This window comes from Homo sapiens, chromosome 9, assembly GCF_000001405.40.
Source record: "Homo sapiens chromosome 9, GRCh38.p14 Primary Assembly".
Classification (NCBI taxonomy): domain Eukaryota; kingdom Metazoa; phylum Chordata; class Mammalia; order Primates; family Hominidae; genus Homo; species Homo sapiens.
In genome coordinates this window covers 98,959,377-98,976,752 of record NC_000009.12, presented here as the reverse complement: position 1 = coordinate 98,976,752, position 17,376 = coordinate 98,959,377, and the positions used below count along the sequence as shown (strand labels likewise).

Sequence of the window (17,376 nt, the reverse complement as noted above, 5' to 3'; positions counted from 1 at the left end):
GTCCACTTCTCCCTGTCTCCCCCACACCCAGGCTCTGTCCCTGAGCAGGTCCTCAGGAAGTGTTTGCTGGCTGAACTAAATCCTAGGCATTCCTGAATTGAAGGTGCCAGGCTCACAGTCTGAGGCCCTGGTGAGAGTCACTGAGGTCGGGCTCCAGTCTGACATCCAACAGTGACCTCACTGCATGCCCATCCATCACCTGAAAGTCCACGTTCCCTCCCATCTCCACGATGCTGGATCCACTGGCCCAGAGAGCCCATCTGGGAGGCATGAATCCATGGGGCAATGAGAGACCCAGGGAGGGGAGGAAGGACTCAGGTTCAAGACTCTGTCTGTGACCTTGGGCCAGCTAGTCCCCCTCCCTGATCTCAGTTTTCCCATCAGAGAGTTAGACCAGATAGACTCTCAGAGCCACATCCACTGTGATTTATTCTATGTATTTTCACTGCCTTCAAACACTTCCTGGGGCTGCATCTGACCGGTCTTATTCTCTCACTTCATTAATGCTTAGAGATAGCTTCATTTCCAATGGGGGTTTTCAACTTACTTTTCCAATTCATGAATTTGATCATATTTCTAAAGCTCCCACATTGTGCCTTGTGTAGTGCTGGAGACATGGAGCTAAGCCTGGAACATGTGTGCTCAAGCAGCTCACTATCTAGGTGACCATTAGTAGTCATCTGCTCCTATTACAAGCTCCAAAGCCTTCAATGGCTCCCCAGTGCCTTCAGCATAAAAGCAAAATTCTACTCGAGACACCCTCTGCTTCATCTCCTCATTCTCCCCCCGTGTCTTTGCCTTCACTCATGCTATTCCTTCTAGTGACATCACTCTTCCCCATCTTCTTACATCTAAATCTTTCCAGTCAGGCTCAGCTGCACCCCAACACACGGGGGCCCCACTCTCACTCTGCAAAAAGGGCCAAAGTCATCCCCCCTCCTCTAAACATCCACAGAGCCAAGGGGATGCTGTGAAGGAACGGACACAGGGAGAGACAACCTGAGCCTCCCTCCCTCAAATCTAGTTCAGACTCCTAAGTGCAGTTTTGGGGTGGCCCCTCCTCAGGGCGCAGAGAGGAGAAATCAGACGGTTTCAGAGACAGAGGAGGCAGAGGAAAATCTGAGCAGTCAGGGCAGGGTGCGACTTTCCTCCCAAGGGTCCAAAGCCAGTTTCCATGGAAACCAGGCAGAATCCCAGCCATGAAGAAACAAACAGAGCAGGGTTCAGGTTTTCCTTCCACACAGATGACAGCGATTTGGCCAGAGATGAAGAACAGGAGCGAACTCTCACCTCTCCTCCTCCTCTCTGCCACAGGCTCAGGGACATCATCTGGCACCTCCCCTACCCCGCTGGGCCTCGGTTTCCCCTTCCGTGCGATGGGCTGGATCAGTCCTTCCATCTGTGGGGTCCTGAAGCAGTGCCCGGGACTAGCCTGAGCTTTGGAGCCTTGCCTCCCTAGAGAACTGTAGCTGGCTTTGCAAAGCTCCCTCTCACAGACGATCATCTGGGACCTGAGCCCAGCGCTAGCGCTAGTTAGCATTTAAAGCCAGAGGAGGCTAAGGAGCGTTCCTCGCTCCAGGTGAAGGAGCGCTGCGGATATGTCCGGACGGAGGCGCGAGGGAGGCTGAGGACGCCCCGGGACCGTGCGCGGCAGCGGCTCCTGGCGGTCTCTACGGGAACTGCGCTTCCACCAACTGCAAGGAAGGCTTTCCACCTGCGCTGTGAACCGGGATCCCAACAACAGACTCAAAGCGAAAGGTCTGTTAAGGGACCCAAGAGAGCAGGTCTGAGGCCATGCAGTGAGTTTGGCCAAGCCAGGCCTAGAACCCATAACGCCTCCTTTCCCTCCTCTGCTGTTTCTCTGCACCGAGTGCTGGGAAAGGCTGAAGGTGCCCCTCCTGGGTTTCTACCATTCCCACACACGCCTCTAAAGACCGACGGCACACTTCAGTCAGCTTAAACGGGGCCACGGTGACTCCTGCAAGCGGGTGGGTGTATTCCCACTGGGGGGCCGGGGCTGAGGGGGTCCAGATGACCCTATACTGCCTGTGGCCTGGGGCTGGACCAGTAGGATGAGGGTATGTAGGGTAAGGTGGGGGGACTGCCCTTGGGACCCCAGAAGGGCTCCTCTCACCTGAGTTTCTTGGCACTCAGTCCCTGGGGAGAAGAGGAGGTGCTCAGTCCCCCTCCTCTGCGCCTGCAGCATGGGGGGCAGACCGTCGGAGAAGCCACGTGTCCCTCCTCCTTGCCCTTTGTCAGCTTGTCCTGCCAGCAAGTTGGGAGGGTGGGGTTCTTGCATCTTCTGGGACGGTTCTTTCCCTTCCCTTTGGACACCCCTACAGAGAGGTGGCCCCCAAGGACCCTGGGTATGTCTAAATCACATCTGGCATGTGACTTCCCTTTCTCCCACCTCCCTGGAGGGACAGGAGTTCAGCAACCGCAGACTGTGTGGGACAGTGCAGCTCACCACCTGGGGAGGAGCTTCCTACAATGCTCACCCATCCAAAGCCACCTGGCTTCCACCTGCTCATCTCCACTCACGGCCACCTGACCATTGCTGCACAATTCGAAGTCTTCGGAAGTCCTTTCTCATGTTGAACTGAGGCAACCGCCCCTGCAACTCCCACCCACCTGGCTGGGCCTAGCTCTCTACCCCTCTGAGACCACACACAAGTCGGCCTCAACTTCTACATCCTGACCTCTCAGATGTTGCATGGGGTGGTGGAAAGGGCCTCAGCCTGCAAGGTGGACTCTGCCACCAACTTGGCATATGACTTTGAGCAGTCCCTTCCCTTCTCTGAGCCTCAGGTTCAATATCTGTCAAACTAGAGCCTTGGACTAAATATTTTCCAAAGGCCCTTGCCAGGTCTGACAGCCTCATCGTCTGCCTCCTCCTTGTCTCCCGCCAGTGTTTCAGTTTTTCTAACCGCCCCTAACTGCCGGTTCTTTCAGTCCACAGCCTTCAGGCCTGGAAGGAATGACTCCAACAGGGGCCGGGACAAACCCAGCCCTCCCCACAGACTTCCTTGTCTTTAGCCAGCAAGGCCTGGCCAGAGGCAAGGAGCACTGTGCTCAGGAAAATGTCACAGCTCTCTGCCTGTGTGGAAACTCAGCCCCACCCAGGCTGGAGTCTCTGGGGGCTCCCGTTTCCACCTGACTCCCTTTCTGAGGAAAATGAACACAACACAATCCACGGTGCCTGAGGGTTTATCTGCACCCAGCAAAGGTGCGAGAGGTTCTTAGAAAAACCTATCACCCGATGCATTTCTTAAAAAAGAACTGTTTCCTTGCCAGGGAAAAAATCCTGGATCAACTTAGAAAGTAGACCTGGCTCGGCCACAATCAAAGACCCTATTTTTCTGAATTACAGAAGAGCATTTTTCTACATGTAAACTTAGAACGCCTCCTTCTCTTTTCCGGTTTTCATATATAGCATAGGAATTTTCCTGTTCAATGAAGTTACTGTATAAGCTCTCCTCCCTCTCTCTCTCTCTCTCCCTCTCTCTCTTTCTCTCTTGCTCTCTTGTTCTCTCGTTCTTGCTTTCTCGAGCCTCTGACCTAAACTGGAGAAGACGATTTGAGGAAGCCTGGAGCTGGGGTCCTGGCTGAAGCTTGGTTTTCCTGGCCAGCAGCTGAAAAGCACTTAGCCCAGCAGGAAGTAATCCTCACCTGTCCAGTATCCTCTTCTGTTTCCAAAGCATCCTCTTACCCGTTCCTTCTGCCAGGAGGCAGGCAACGCAGGGATCATTCTCTCATTTTGCAGAGTAGGGAGTCAAGCCCCAGAGACAGGAAGTCACTCACTCAGAATCCTCGGTGCAGCAGCCAGCACTGAAGATGTGAAGCTGGGCTCTGCCTGTTACAGCCCATTGCCTTTCAAGCTTTCCTTGTGGCTCTCCCAGGCCCAGCTGCATACTTCTGTGTTCCCTCAGTCCCCCTCCATCCTTCCTCCCAGACACCCTCATCTGTCTGCAGTCCAGTGGCCAGTTCACCTTGCTCTCATATGCTTAGACATGGGCCCTGGGCATGGACCATGCCAACTCATCTCTCGGTCCTCAGCACCAGCACAGAGCCTGGCAAAGGGGACTCTGAATGAACAGAATGTCAAGAAACAACAGCATCAGCAGCTAAAATTTTCTGCAGGCTTGCTGCATGCCAAGTGCTGTTCAAAGGGCTTTCCACAAATCAGTCATCCTTACACTTGATTCTTTCTGAGATGGATGATATTATTATCCCCATTTGCAGGTTAGAAAACTGAGGCTTAAATTACTGTTCCAAATCCATGAGGTTAATAAGCAGTTGGAGTCAAGATTCAAATGGGACTAGGTAAGGTAGGCTGGTGTGAAGTTTGCAGCCCTAGCCACATATCAGAGTCACCCCTGGGAGCTTTTAAAAGTCAGAGGTCTGCCCCTCCTGCTTGGGCCTATGGAATCAGAGTCTTTCAGGGTCTTGCCTGCGTCAATCTGATGCCCACTCTCAAGTGACAGCCACGGGTAAGGGCTAACTGCCTGGGCTTTGGCATCAGACAGACCTATGCTTAGTCCTGGGTCTGCCACTCATGGCCTTTCCACAGATCACCTCGCCCCTCTGTAGCCTCCTAATCTATAAAGTGGGGCAGCACTAGGACCTGGCTCACAGAGATATTGTGAGAACGGACAACACAGTGAGAACCCTACTTCGCACAGGGCCTGGTGTGTAGTGAGCATTTGGTAAACACTGGGAGTCCTCGCTCATTGGGTTGGGTGCTGACCAGGGCGGGGCACTCTCAAGCTGTCAGTACAGCACCTCCGTTCAGCCTCACAACCACCTGCTAGCCATGAAAGAATTAGCAACATAATTGATGAACAGGCCCAGCGGATAAGGAACTGAGGAGAGCAGCCCAGAGAGAGAGAGCGTGGGGTGGCTCCCCCATCCTGTGACCCGGCTCTGCTGAGAGCATGGGGTGACTCCCCTATCCTGTGACCCAGCTCTGCTCACCACCGCTCCCTTCACACATGCCCACGTGCATGCGCACACACGCGGACCCCTCAGTCCTGGCAGCAGTTAGCCGCAGTGCAAGAGCATATCCAATCTCAGGAAGAAGCAGTGGTTCCTGCTGTCTTGCTGCAGTGGGGGTCTTTACGTCCCTTCCTTTACCCCCTTCCCTCAACCTCTGTTTCCTGGATCCTGGGCACAAAGCCACCCCAGGGACCATGTGGACTAGGTGGCACAGTGAAGGCCAGCAGGTGCGGGCAGGCGTGAGCACCCATGGGCATCTGGGAAGAGTTTCGTTGTCAGCTCTTCTCGGTGTACGGACTTTCCTTTTCCATTTGGGGAACAAAGACTCTTTGAGTGCATTGAGAGCCTTGAATCCTGAGGATGACATCAACTGAAATGAGTCATCACCCCCACCCGGCAGGCAGCTCTGGAGGGCTCAGCTCAGGGCTCTGGGAGGAAAACACATGGAAAATGGCACGGAGAAAAAGGGGCCTGTCAGGGGCACGTGAGGGGCATGGGATGGGAGCATGCAGTGACCTGCTGGACATGGATGCTCTACAGCCCATGGCTCCTGGAAGCCGTCAGGCCCAGCATTCCAAGGCGACACAGGACTGCTGGCAGGGCCAGTGTAGACACATAGACCAGGGGGTTTCAAGCAGTATTTTCCAGGGCTGGGGATGAGAAAGGGAGGAGGATACAGGAGGCCTTAGCAGAAGTCCTGCCCCTTGGCCCCCTAACACACAGGAACACATGCACACACGGATACATCCACAAATACACAGTACAAATCTGTTATTCTTACCACTCTCTCATACACACGCATAGGTTCACATACTCATAACACACACTCATACACATACTTTCGAAGGTTCACGCCACACAAACTAACACATAGATATACAAATACACACACGTTTATATACTCCAGTATACACCGACTCATGCACCTCCACCCGCACTCACCCTAGACTCATACAAACTCACACACTGACACATGCACACACTTACCTACTCACACACTCACAACCTATTCATAGACCCTGTCCCACACACTAACCCACATCCACACACACTCACCTACACTCATATACATACACCCAAGCAATTCAGACTTCATTTGTTTAATAATTTGGGTTCCATTAAGTCTCATTTGAATGAAGAGTTCTGAGGCTAAAAACAATCAAACCAATCATTGAAAGCCCTTCCACATCACAGCTGTGGAAGCTGGGGTGTTGTAGGGGCAGATATTTACAGAGGAGCCCACAGAAAGTCTGAAGCCCACACTGTCTTCTCCTGCTACCCCCTTAAGGGCTCAGAGAGCTCAGACTGCTCTTCCCACACACAGGGTTTGGTTTCTCTGATTTGGGTACATTTTCTGCATTTCCCTCCTTTCCTCGTTGTCAGTAAAACCTTCTCCCTAGAATTATGGACTTGGGGTCCTGGCTTCACAAAGCACTGAATTCCACGATCCCTCTATTGGAAGCTATCTAGAAATAGTACATAAATAAATTCAGACAGCTGCTGTGAACAGGTGATGCCTGGCATGTAATCCAGAGCCTGGCATAGGTAAGTGCTCAATAAATGTTTGTTTTGTGCATGAGTGAATGGGCAATAGTTCCTGTATACGGAGCCCTTACTATGTCCTGGGCACGAAGTGCTTTACTTGCATAGCGGTGGTTCTCAACCCTGGCTGCACAGTAGAATCACCTGGGGAGACTTTTTTTTTTTTTTTTTTAAACTACTAATGCTCTTGCCTCACTCCCAAAGATGTTGATTGAGCTGGTTCAGGTGTGGCTTGGGCATGGGGAGGCTGCACAAACTTCCCAGTTGATGCTAATTATAGCCCCTGACTTCTTCACAACAACCCCACTCTTTTTGTTCCCAATTTACAGATGAAGGAATGAGGCACTGGGAAGTTAAATAACTTGCCCAAGGGCACCCAGCTATCAAATCCCAGACTGGAGATTTTAAGCCCTCATCTGTCTGATGCGAGGCATTGAGTCTGTCTCTGCTGCTCTCCAGGAATGTCACTTCAACCCAAGCCTGACCCACTCCAGGAAGCACACCCTTATTGTTGTCCCAGCCCTCAGTGACCTTGGGCCCATCTGCCTCTCTATTCCCATTGCCCTGACTCCCTCCCTATGGCTGGGGGCATCAACACTGGGCACCTCCCTACCAGCTACCAGGAGCGGGGCTCTGCTGACAACGAGAGGGGGTCTCCCACAGTCTTGCTGGCCACTGGGCAGCCACTGTTCTCTTCTGGTCTGCCCTGACATTTTTTCAGAGCTAGGAGACGGATCTCTGAGCAACCTGGTATTAGGGAGAAAGACTCAACCTCAACTCTGCATTTAAAAGATGGGCAACTTTGGATAAGATACTTCACTTCTCTGAGCCAGAGTTTCTCGATCCGCAAGAGGAATGCTACCTACTTCAGGAGAGAGTTTTGAGAATGACCTGAGATAATAGACATAAAACACTGAGCAGAGGGCCAAGCAAAGGCCCACGATGAATGAAGCATAGCGGTGGTGGTAGTTAGTATTATCAGTGACATTAGCCTTCTTTTCTCTCCCATAAATTACTGCTTAGAATTGCCATGAAAGGCAGCTTTGTGCAATTTTCCCCTGGGCCTCAGTTTTCTCTTCTGCAAAATAGGGTGATACAATCTTTCTCATGAGACTGCAGTGAGGATCCAGTAGAGTTTTGAATGAGAAAATGCTTTGCCAAGTACAACTTGCCAGGGTATGAGGAACAATTAACATGGACAAAGGGCTCCAGACAGGAGTCTGGGGGGCTGGGATTGGCGTTTTTTTCTCAGATCAATGAAATCTGAACATGCTGAAATGCTATAACATAGCCAGTATAGCTTAATAGGCAGAATTCTCTGCCCCAGCCTGAAAATGGGTTGTCTTGAATAAAGTGCAGCTGACCAGAAGCTGGAACCTGGGAGTCAGCTTACTCCTCCTTCCCCGCCCCCGCCCCCAGGCAGGAAGCTATAGGCCAGGCCCAACTGCAGGAGCTGAAGGAACAACTTAATAATGATAATAGCCTGTGTTCCCTAAAGTGGGTTCAGTGGTGACCGCCAGAAAAGATATGTCCATGTCCTCATTTCTAAATATGTTCATTACATTTAGAGTCTTTGAGATGTAATTAAGTTAAGGATCTTGAGATAAAAAGATCATCCTGCATTATCTGGGTGGGCACTAGATCCAATGACAGGTGTTCTTATAAGACACATGGAGGGGGTTTGACAGACAGAAGAGGAAGAGGCAATGTGGCCACAGAGGCAAAGATTAAAATGAAGTGGACACAAGCCAAGGATTGCTGGCAGTCACCAGAAGCTGAAAGTGGCAAGGAATGGATTCCCTGCTAGAGCCCCAGGAGGAGTGCCACCCAGCCCACACACCTCCACTTCACACTTCTCGCCTCCAGAACTGGACAAGGATAAGTTACTACTGTTTTAAGCCACTCAGTTTGTGGTCGTTTGTTACCGCAGCCCTAGGAAACTCACACATTCACTGAATGCTTACTTACTGTGTGCTGTGTCCAAGCACGATTGCAAGTGAGTTGCCTGGACTGGGTCATCCAATACTCACAGTAACAGTGAGGAGGGTGTTCTTATTACCTTTGTTTTTATAGATGAGGAGGTTGAGGTGCAGAGGGATTAGGTCACACAGCTAGCAAGTGGCTGGGCCAGGTTTTGGACCCAGACAACCTGGGTTCAAACTCCATAGCCCGTCTGCTTATCCATGACGCCAGTGGTTCTCAAAGTGTGGTTTCTGGACCAGCAGCAGCAGTATCTGGGGACTTATTAGAGATGCAGATTCTCGAGACCTACTCCAGACCTACAAAATCAGAAACCCTGGGCTGAGGCCCAGCACCCTGTGTTTTAACCAGCCCCCTAGTGTCTCTGATGCACACCCTAGTTTGAGAACTGCTGTGCTGTTGAGGCAAAGATGGCATCCTACTACCTGAATGGAGGCCAGTCATGGGCAGTCATGGACCTGGAGACAAGAGCAGGCAGCCAGCAGCACAGACGTCTGGTGCAGGGGCCAGAGACCCAGGCACAGGGTGCAGGGGCAGGATTGTAACTGCTTCCACCATGGACCAACCCAGGCAGGGCCCCAGTACTAGATGGTAGAGACAGCGCTTTTCTGTGATCATAGCACAGCATTCAAGCCACCTCCCAGCCAGGCTGTTGGGATGCTAAGTCCCCTGAATCACTAGATCCCACTGATGGAAAACAGGAATGTCCTAGGGCCTGGGGTGAGGCAGCCAAGTGGCCCCAGCTGTGGGGGAAGAAGGCTGGCCAGCAGGAAGCCTGTCCAAGTCAGCCCCTGGAGGTAAGTGGATGTAGAGAGGCTTGGGCACTCCAGCCCCCTGGGTCAAGGCCTGTCAGGAGAGGGTTCTGCAGGCAGGGGGAAACTTGTGGTCTCCAACAGAGCTGTGGCTCCCCAGGGAAAGTCAGTACAGAGAAGGGTCGGCACACACCTTCCAGGAGGGGACTGCGGTGGCCAGGTCTACGAGTCATACTATCTCCCTAGGAACCCCCATTCCACCCCAGGGCCAGTTTCACAGAAAGCTCCAATTTCTCACTACTCTGTTATCTGTTCCTCACCTGTGTCCCTCAGCAGCCTGTGAGCCCTTCAGGAGGTAGGTAGCATGTTCTGTTTCATCTCCATATCTCCCAGTGTCACCCTCATCTCCCTAATGTGAGACCTTGCCTGAAGTAGGCATAAATTGAGCATTTGATGAATGAATGAACGAATGAATGTACAAATAATACACATGTGCATGAATGAATGAGCTTAATGGACTCTAGACTAGCGTGATTGTATGCCTGTCTTAACACATCATATTTATCATCAATCATAAAGAATTCTAATGAATGCCAGTAGTTGTCACAAGTAATCCCACCAGCACCATTTAGCTTAATATGCACTTAATAGCTTAGCTCTCACCTGATCCCCACTGTTGAGATATAATATAATATTAATAACCACACAGAGTCGATTGTAGCTTTGCTGGGGGCTGCAATCCCCTCTCCCTAAGCAGGAGGCTTTGAATGAGCAGCCTTCTGCAAAATGGCTGCCCTCGGCTCTCCTTCACTGAGATGAGAGTGACTCTCTTAAACACACTGGCTTCTCAGACTTCAGACTCATTTCCAGCTGCCTCCATCTTCCTCCCCTCTGCAACATGGTCTGGGTGGAGAATGTGAACAACCGGGCTTCCCCTTCTCTGTTATATACTGTTAGGGTCCTTGAGGTTTGGCTAGAGGCCTCAGGGAGGCTGCTCATGGCCTATCCGGGTGTCAGAGCATGAGCTGGGGCCATGGGGCAAGGTAGGATGGGACAGGCCAGCCCTGGAGATCCCAGGAGCAGAACGGTAAGATCCCTGGTCCTCCTGTGTGGAGAAGGCCCCCCATCTCCTCCATGGGGGTGCAGCATTGGGTTGGGAGGAGCACTGAATGATAGGAGGAGCTTGAAAGAGTATTTTAATTCTGAGCTTTCTAAGTCTTTCTCTAAGTGAAACATGGCCTGGGGTGTTTCTTGATTTCTTTGGCATGATTGATACTATGGGGTCAATGAAATCTCTTGAGTTGTTATCCACAGGCCTCAAGGCAGCCATAATTTACATCTCCCTAGGGGAGAATGGTCCTCTCTCTTCCCTCCCAGAAGAAGAGTCAGGAGGGGACCTTACTATCATTCATTCTATCCTGGGCCCAGTCTGGCCTTGTCCACAACCAGCATCCACTTTCCAACCCTGTCTGGACTTGGCGCTGGGCTGGGCTCTGGGGGAACAAGAGGACAAGGAATTGGGTCCCCTGGAAAAAAAGGACCAGACACCAACATGGGGCCCAGATACAGGTGACCTGGGCTGGGCTCTGGGGGATCAAGAGGACAAGGAATTGGGTCCCCTGGAAAAAAAGGACCAGACACCAACACGGGGCCCAGATACAGGTGACCTGAGCTTGGAGCCATAAGCAAAGGACAGGAAAGTCCTGTAGGGGCTTAAAGAGGGAGCACTCCCCGCCCACTGGGGGACACTGGGAAGGGGACCTGAAGGAAGGGCCAGTGGAGATAGGCCTGAGATGCTTCACACAGGTGAACACAGTGGAGTGAGCAGAGCATGAGCAAACCCACACAATTAGGAAAACAAGGGCCAAGTGAGTGATTCCAAGGATGGGAGAAATGGGACCCCGAGATAGCCTCCAGCATTGGAGCAAAAAGGAGAGAATTATGGATCCAGAGAGATTCAGACTTAGAAATGTTAATCTCACAACAGGCCAACCCTGAGCTCAGCACTTAGGTGCATTAGCTCACCTAACCTCAAGGCAGTCTGATGGGGTGGGGACTGTGGCTATGCCATTTTCAGATGAGATGACTGAAGCTGAAGGAGCTTAAGACTGCAGGCCTTAACTGCAGTGGTTGGGACTTCCCAGCTCTTGCTACTCTCAATTCTTTTTCCTTTAGGAGACTGGAGTCAGAGAGCCTCAAATGTCCAGCCAAGGAGACTAAAATTTATGCAACAGGCAACCGGGTGCCTTGGCAGATTCCTGAGGAAGGTTCTAGCTGACCATTTTAGGAGGAATCCTCATTTCACCCCAAGCTGCTGCCCTAGGCAGTTGGGTCCCCTTTCTTTTTCTTGCCAAGGAGAGGGTGGAATTGGGTGATCTGGAATGTGGTGCGAAGGCGATAGTTTGGCAACAGCAGGAGACATACTTTCTTGCAGCCTCTCAGCACTTGGCATGTTATGCCCTGGGCAAAATCAAGCTGCCCTGGGAACAGCCCGGGGCGTCCCAACAGATGAGCTTGTGTGAATTCAGCCAGGGCAGACAAGCAGCGCAGTCAGAACGAGCTCATAGCTTCAGTGGGCACCGTGAAATCTCGCCTACATTGGCCAAGGCGCTGATGAAGAATCAGGGTAACCTTCAGAGCTGGGAAGAACCTCAGAAAATACCCAGTCCAATGTCCCCAAGATGAGAAAACTGATGCCCAGACTGATGGTGTGACCAGCTCGAGCAGCTTTGGCATGTTGTATTCCCCCCACTGTAAGATCCAGGCCACTCTCTCCCATGACCCGGAAGATGGCATGGGAAAGGGCCTCATACAGAGCTTGGTACACACTAGGTACCCAATGTAGAAAGGAATGCATTTGAATCTGTGGTGGGGACCTGTGGTTCACATGCAATGACGTTGATGCTGCTGAGTAGGGGAAAAGAAATAACCAGAGAAATTTGTCCGAGGGTTGTTGTCAAACACACTGTGTCTTTCTACAGACTTTCCTGCTCAGTTGTGCAAAGAGACACACTCTCTGTGGGATGCTGGAGCCCCATTTGGCTCCAAAATGGGATTTGAGTTTAAGGGAACAGCCAGAACAGATGGTGACCCTGAAGTCATATTTTGAAACAGGCTGACTCTTGTTTAATTTAGATGAAAGTACAGCTTGACAGTCTCCAAATGTTTGCTGGAGGAACAGCCTGTGGACCACCAGAATAATGGGAGAGGGAATCAGACCTTCCAAGATGAAAACCCAGTGGACACCTCCTAACTAGAGACCAAGAATGGGGGGGTGGGAGGGGAGGTGACCTCGGGGGAACCCCAGGAGGACCAGCCTCCCCCAGAATGGTGCAGGGCAAAGGACGTGGAATTTGATGCCAGAGAAACTTGTATGTAAGTCCCTGCTCAGCCACGTACTAGCCAGGTGATCTTGGGCATGTTCTTTAACTTCTCTGAGCCTTAGCTTCCTTATCTGGAAATAGAGGTGGCAATACTTAGCTCTCAGGGTGGTGGCACAGGGCAAATGTCAGGTGCTAAGCATATTCTGTCCATTTTGTTCATTCATTCATTTGTTCATTCACAAATGACTATCAAGCACACACCGTCACATGCCTGGCACTGCAAGTCATGGAGATTTGGGGTGAACGGGATGGGCATGACCTTAACTTTGTGGGATGGATGGCTCAGCACTGGGTTCCCCATCCCTGGCTCTGAGCACTCCTGGGCATTACCTGCTGAGTAGCTCATATAGCCTCAGGAGGTAGGACTCCTATACCCATCACCCACCACCACCATCCAGATGAGGAAACCCACACTCTTTCTGAGCAATGTGCCCAAGTCACATAATTAAAAAAAGTGTTGAACCAGGATTTAAAGTTCATGTGATGTTTCCAAAGCTCAGCTCTAACCACACACTACTGTCAAGCACATCCCTGAGAATGGTACGGATGTGATCAAGCAGCACTGGGGAATTTCAAAATGGAGTGATGCCACCCACCTGGATATCAGAAGACGTAGTTCCAGACCCAGTTCTAGAACAAGGAACCTGTTGGGAGTCACATCGCTAAAATGTGTGTGACTCCCAGGAAGTTCCTTGCTCTCTTTGAACCTCCATCTTCCCGTCTGCAATTTGGGGGAGCTGGAATAGTTGATCCCCAAAGTCCAGCATTTTCTGAGGCCTCAGGTTCCCAGTGGGTTCTGATGGGAGTAAGGTGTTTGGGGGGACTTGCAGGCATTGTGAGAAGTGAGGCCCAGTGGGTCCTAGCTACCTAAGGTGCATAAATGGTGAACTGTGCCTTCTCACACAAGGAGCCTACGCTATGCAGCATGGACCACGCTGGGTGGAAGGCTGCCTCCAAAGAGTGATTCTTGGAAATCTTGAACCTGAGCAAGGCTGACCAGCCTCCCACATGCATATGCATGACAGCATTCTTCACATTCCACCCAAGATCTCCATGCTAAAGCAGCTCCACACGCTATTCCTGGAAAGGTAAACGTGGATGGAGAAATGAAAGCTTCTCATGGCCATCAACACACACATTTCTATTCATTCCAGAAGCATTTATTGAGCACCTGCTGTACAGCAGGCACTATTCTAAGTGCCGGAGATCCAGCAGTGATAGACAAGTTCCTTCCCTCTTGGAGCTGACAGTTCTAATCCAAAGCTTTGGAGGGCAGTGACCATCTCCATCTTGTCAATATCAAAGCATTAATAGCCCCCTCAACACACAGGTGTTAGGTATCTGTAGACAGAAAATGTCCATGTATCCTTTGCAATAATTCTAAATATCCCCCACAAGTTGGGGACCTCAAATCTGTATATAACATCATCTCTGCTAAAGCACTCTGTCATCAGATAAACCTGAGGGCCTGAGTCTAGCCAAAGAGCCCCCCAGGACCTTGAAAATTTAATTCTCTTGCTTTATCTTTAAAAGCACTTAAGTTTTGAATTCCACTCCAAACATGTGTGTGTGTTTGTTTTAATAATATAAAAATGTTCCAAATTATTCCCCAGTTGTTACTGGTCTCCTCACCACAAATTACCAACCACTGAGTAAAATCCTCCAGGAAATAAACAATGTGGCTCTTCGCATGCTAGTGTCACACAGCCAAGGACTGTGAGCACACCCATTTGAGAAGCAGGTCTCCAAAGGAATGGCTTGGACAGGAGAGGCGTAATGCATCCCCCACGTCTCACGGGTACAACCATGTCTAAAGGAATTGCTCCCCTGAGTGAAAGCATCTAAAAACCTCCCACCCGAGTTATTCCTCCCCAAACCGCATTTCTGTTCCCTGGCAAGAGAATTCTTCCTATGTTTACGGATGCACATTCTCAATACAGAGATCCAGAGAGAGATAAAAAATAAAAAGAGATCATGTCAGACCTGGATGACCTTAGCGCTGGTCCGACCTCTTCGTTGTATAGACGGGAGGAAGCTTTCCAAAGCCAGGACTGACTGGAGTCTAACCGCAGACAGCAATTGTTAGAAACCTTCCTCACTTGCCTCCACCACCTCTTTGCCAGGCAGCTGTCGTGGCCTGGGAGGCCCTGAGAGGCCAAGGTGGACCAGGGGCTCTTTGTGCTGGCTCCGGGCTTTCTTCTGACTCTGCCTTCCTGACATTTTACTGCAAGTCTCTTAAATTCTCTTCTCTTACGCTATGTAAAGGTAGAGACCCTTTGCCCCCGCCCTGAAGCAATTCACTGTCTGATAAGCAGAGGCAGGAGCAAGGCAGGTAGTAGAATCCAGGGCTTGACTGCACTCTACCTAGACCAAAGGCCTTTACCCCGGGTGGCCCTGGGCGGTAGTGCTGCAGGACTGACCGAGGGTGGGAAGCCAAGATGCTCCCCCAGGGCCAGGCTAGGAAAAACGGCTCCTGGGCGAAGGCCCTGCTTTCATCCCAGAAACTTCACCCTGCCTTCCTCCCTCAACGTGTTCGAGCCACATTCAGGCTGTCTCTTCCATCCTCTCCTCATTCTGTTTCTCTGTATCTGGAACATTCCACTCCTCTTCCAGCCCATCATCCCCACCTCCTTTCCTGGCTAAATCTGTTCACCCCTCAGATCTCATCTTAAATCCCATTCCTTGGGGAGACTCTCCTGACACCCTGGTACAGATGAGAGTGTCCTGGCATGTGCTTTCATAGCTCTCATTGCACTTTCTAACATTTTCTACCATTTATAAACATAAAGAGTCTTTTTGTACAATCCTTTATTTAGCATCAATGTCCCCCATTAGACTATAGGATCCTAGAGGGCAAGCAGCAAGCCTATCTTGCTTTTCATTTTCTGCCCAGGATATCACACATTGCTTGTATTCAGAGAACAGTCAATACATATTACATAAAAGTGGGTAAACAAATGGATGAATGAGAAAGCCCCCAGGTTACAACAGGCAGAATGGCCATTTCTACCAAGGGCAGAAACTCTGGAATGAATTCCATCCCACCCACTTTGCAAAGTCCTTGTTTAGCTATGTTTCACTTTCCCCACATCAGATTATGATTGTTTATCTCCCTCCACTGGAAGGTCAATGATTCTAAACTCCAAACACAAATGACTTGGTCCTGGCCCTTCCCATCCTCAGCAAGATGGACTTACAAATGAGTTCTCACCTCTGATGGAATAAACCCAATACAAGCAATGCTGAGAGAGGACACAGGACAGCTTAGGCACAACATCAGCTAGCACTGAGATGGAACCTTGTTACTGGCCACTCCCCTTCATTAAGGGCTTTCCATGTGCCAGGCACTGTGCTAAGAGCTTGGGGCGTTATTTCGTTTATAGTTTCCTCACTCTACAGATGAGGAAACTGAGGTTTCAAAAGGATTAGTACATTGTCCAAGGTCACCAACTGATACATGCAGAGCCTGGAACCAGGCCAGCTCTATCTGACTGCCCAGATTCAGCACTTGCCCTCCAAGCTACACAGCACTGCAGCTTACACTTGAGTGCCACACACATCACCTGGGGGCCTGGTTAAGGTACAGATCTGATGCCGTGGGTCTAGATCTGATGCTGTGGGTCTAGATCTGATGTTGTGGGTCTGAGGCAGGATTTGGGATCCTGTATTTCTTTTCTTTTTTTTCTTTTTTATTTTTGAAACAGAGTCTCCCTTTGTCACCCAGGCTGGGGTTCGTTCAGTGGTGTGACCTCGGCTCACTGCAGCCTTAACCTCTTGGGCTCAAGCGATCCTCCCACCTCAGGCTCCCAAGTAGCTGGGAGTACAGGCACATGTCACCACATCATGCTAATTTTTTATAGAGATGTTGTCTCACTATGGTGCCCAGGCTGGTCTCAAACTCCTGGCCTCAAGCAATCACCCTACCTTGGCCTCCCAAAGTGCTGGGATTACAGGTGTGAGCCCCTGTGCCCGGCCTTGGGACTCTGTTTCTAATGAGCTCCTGGATGATGCCCATGCTGCTGGTCCAGGGACCACAGTTTAAGCAACAAGTCTATCAAGGTGAAAATGCAGAGGATTTCCATAGGGCAGGCTGAGGAACAGCGCAAGCAAAGGCTTGGAGAAGGGAACATGCATGGTCAATTCAGAGACCAGCAAGCAGTTCAGGGTGGTAGAGCCAGGGTACGGGGAGGGATGTGAGAGGAGAAGAGGCCTTGAACTGCAACCCAAGGAGTGTGGAATGCATTGTGCGTCACAGAAAACATGGAAGCGTTTTGACAGGGGATGTGACATGATGGGACCTGTGTTTTAGACAAGCTACTCTGACTCACAGTGAGAAGCCATGCTAGAGGACAGAGAGATGGGAGATCCTGCTGGCCAGGGAGCTGCTGTAGCAACCCAGCAGAAAGAGGTAACACAGGCCTGAAGCCAGGCAGGGCAAGAAGATAGAAGGGAGAGGTTGCATGCAACAGACATTGCAGGGGCAGAATTAATTTTTTTTTTTTTATGGCAAGATCTCACTCTGTTGCCCAGGCTGAAGTACACTGGCACAATCACAGCTCACTGCAGCCTCATTTCTAAGAGTGGTTCCATTTGAGACTGTGTTGGAATGGTATGCAGCTCAGTTTATGTCTGTGCTCAGCTCCTGTCATCTCTGCACTGTTGCTTTAGTTCATGGAATGGCTGAGAAATTTTTCATAACTTGGAAAGAGTACTGTAGCTTTGTT

At 50.7% G+C, this 17,376-nt stretch overlaps 1 protein-coding gene across 1 annotated transcript in view, besides 4 other annotated features; it reads right to left on the bottom strand.

The window, feature by feature from the left end:
• COL15A1 (collagen type XV alpha 1 chain) overlaps positions 1–17,376 on the bottom strand; it is a 126,881-nt gene that overhangs the window by 94,035 nt on the left and 15,470 nt on the right. The gene's annotated exons all lie outside the window — the stretch shown is intronic.
• Positions 4,545–5,122: an enhancer, noted in NCBI's record as "H3K27ac-H3K4me1 hESC enhancer chr9:101733913-101734490 (GRCh37/hg19 assembly coordinates)". NCBI's record gives its function as "activates a minimal SCP1, AML or CMV promoter by ChIP-STARR-seq in naive H9 embryonic stem cells {active_cell/tissue: H9 hESC(naive)}" and the evidence as "EXISTENCE:reporter gene assay evidence [ECO:0000049][PMID:30033119]".
• Positions 5,123–5,700: an enhancer, noted in NCBI's record as "H3K27ac-H3K4me1 hESC enhancer chr9:101733335-101733912 (GRCh37/hg19 assembly coordinates)". NCBI's record gives its function as "activates a minimal SCP1, AML or CMV promoter by ChIP-STARR-seq in primed H9 embryonic stem cells {active_cell/tissue: H9 hESC(primed)}" and the evidence as "EXISTENCE:reporter gene assay evidence [ECO:0000049][PMID:30033119]".
• Positions 13,413–13,997: an enhancer, noted in NCBI's record as "OCT4-NANOG hESC enhancer chr9:101725038-101725622 (GRCh37/hg19 assembly coordinates)". NCBI's record gives its function as "activates a minimal SCP1, AML or CMV promoter by ChIP-STARR-seq in primed H9 embryonic stem cells {active_cell/tissue: H9 hESC(primed)}" and the evidence as "EXISTENCE:reporter gene assay evidence [ECO:0000049][PMID:30033119]".
• Positions 14,498–14,998: an enhancer, noted in NCBI's record as "H3K4me1 hESC enhancer chr9:101724037-101724537 (GRCh37/hg19 assembly coordinates)". NCBI's record gives its function as "activates a minimal SCP1, AML or CMV promoter by ChIP-STARR-seq in naive H9 embryonic stem cells {active_cell/tissue: H9 hESC(naive)}" and the evidence as "EXISTENCE:reporter gene assay evidence [ECO:0000049][PMID:30033119]".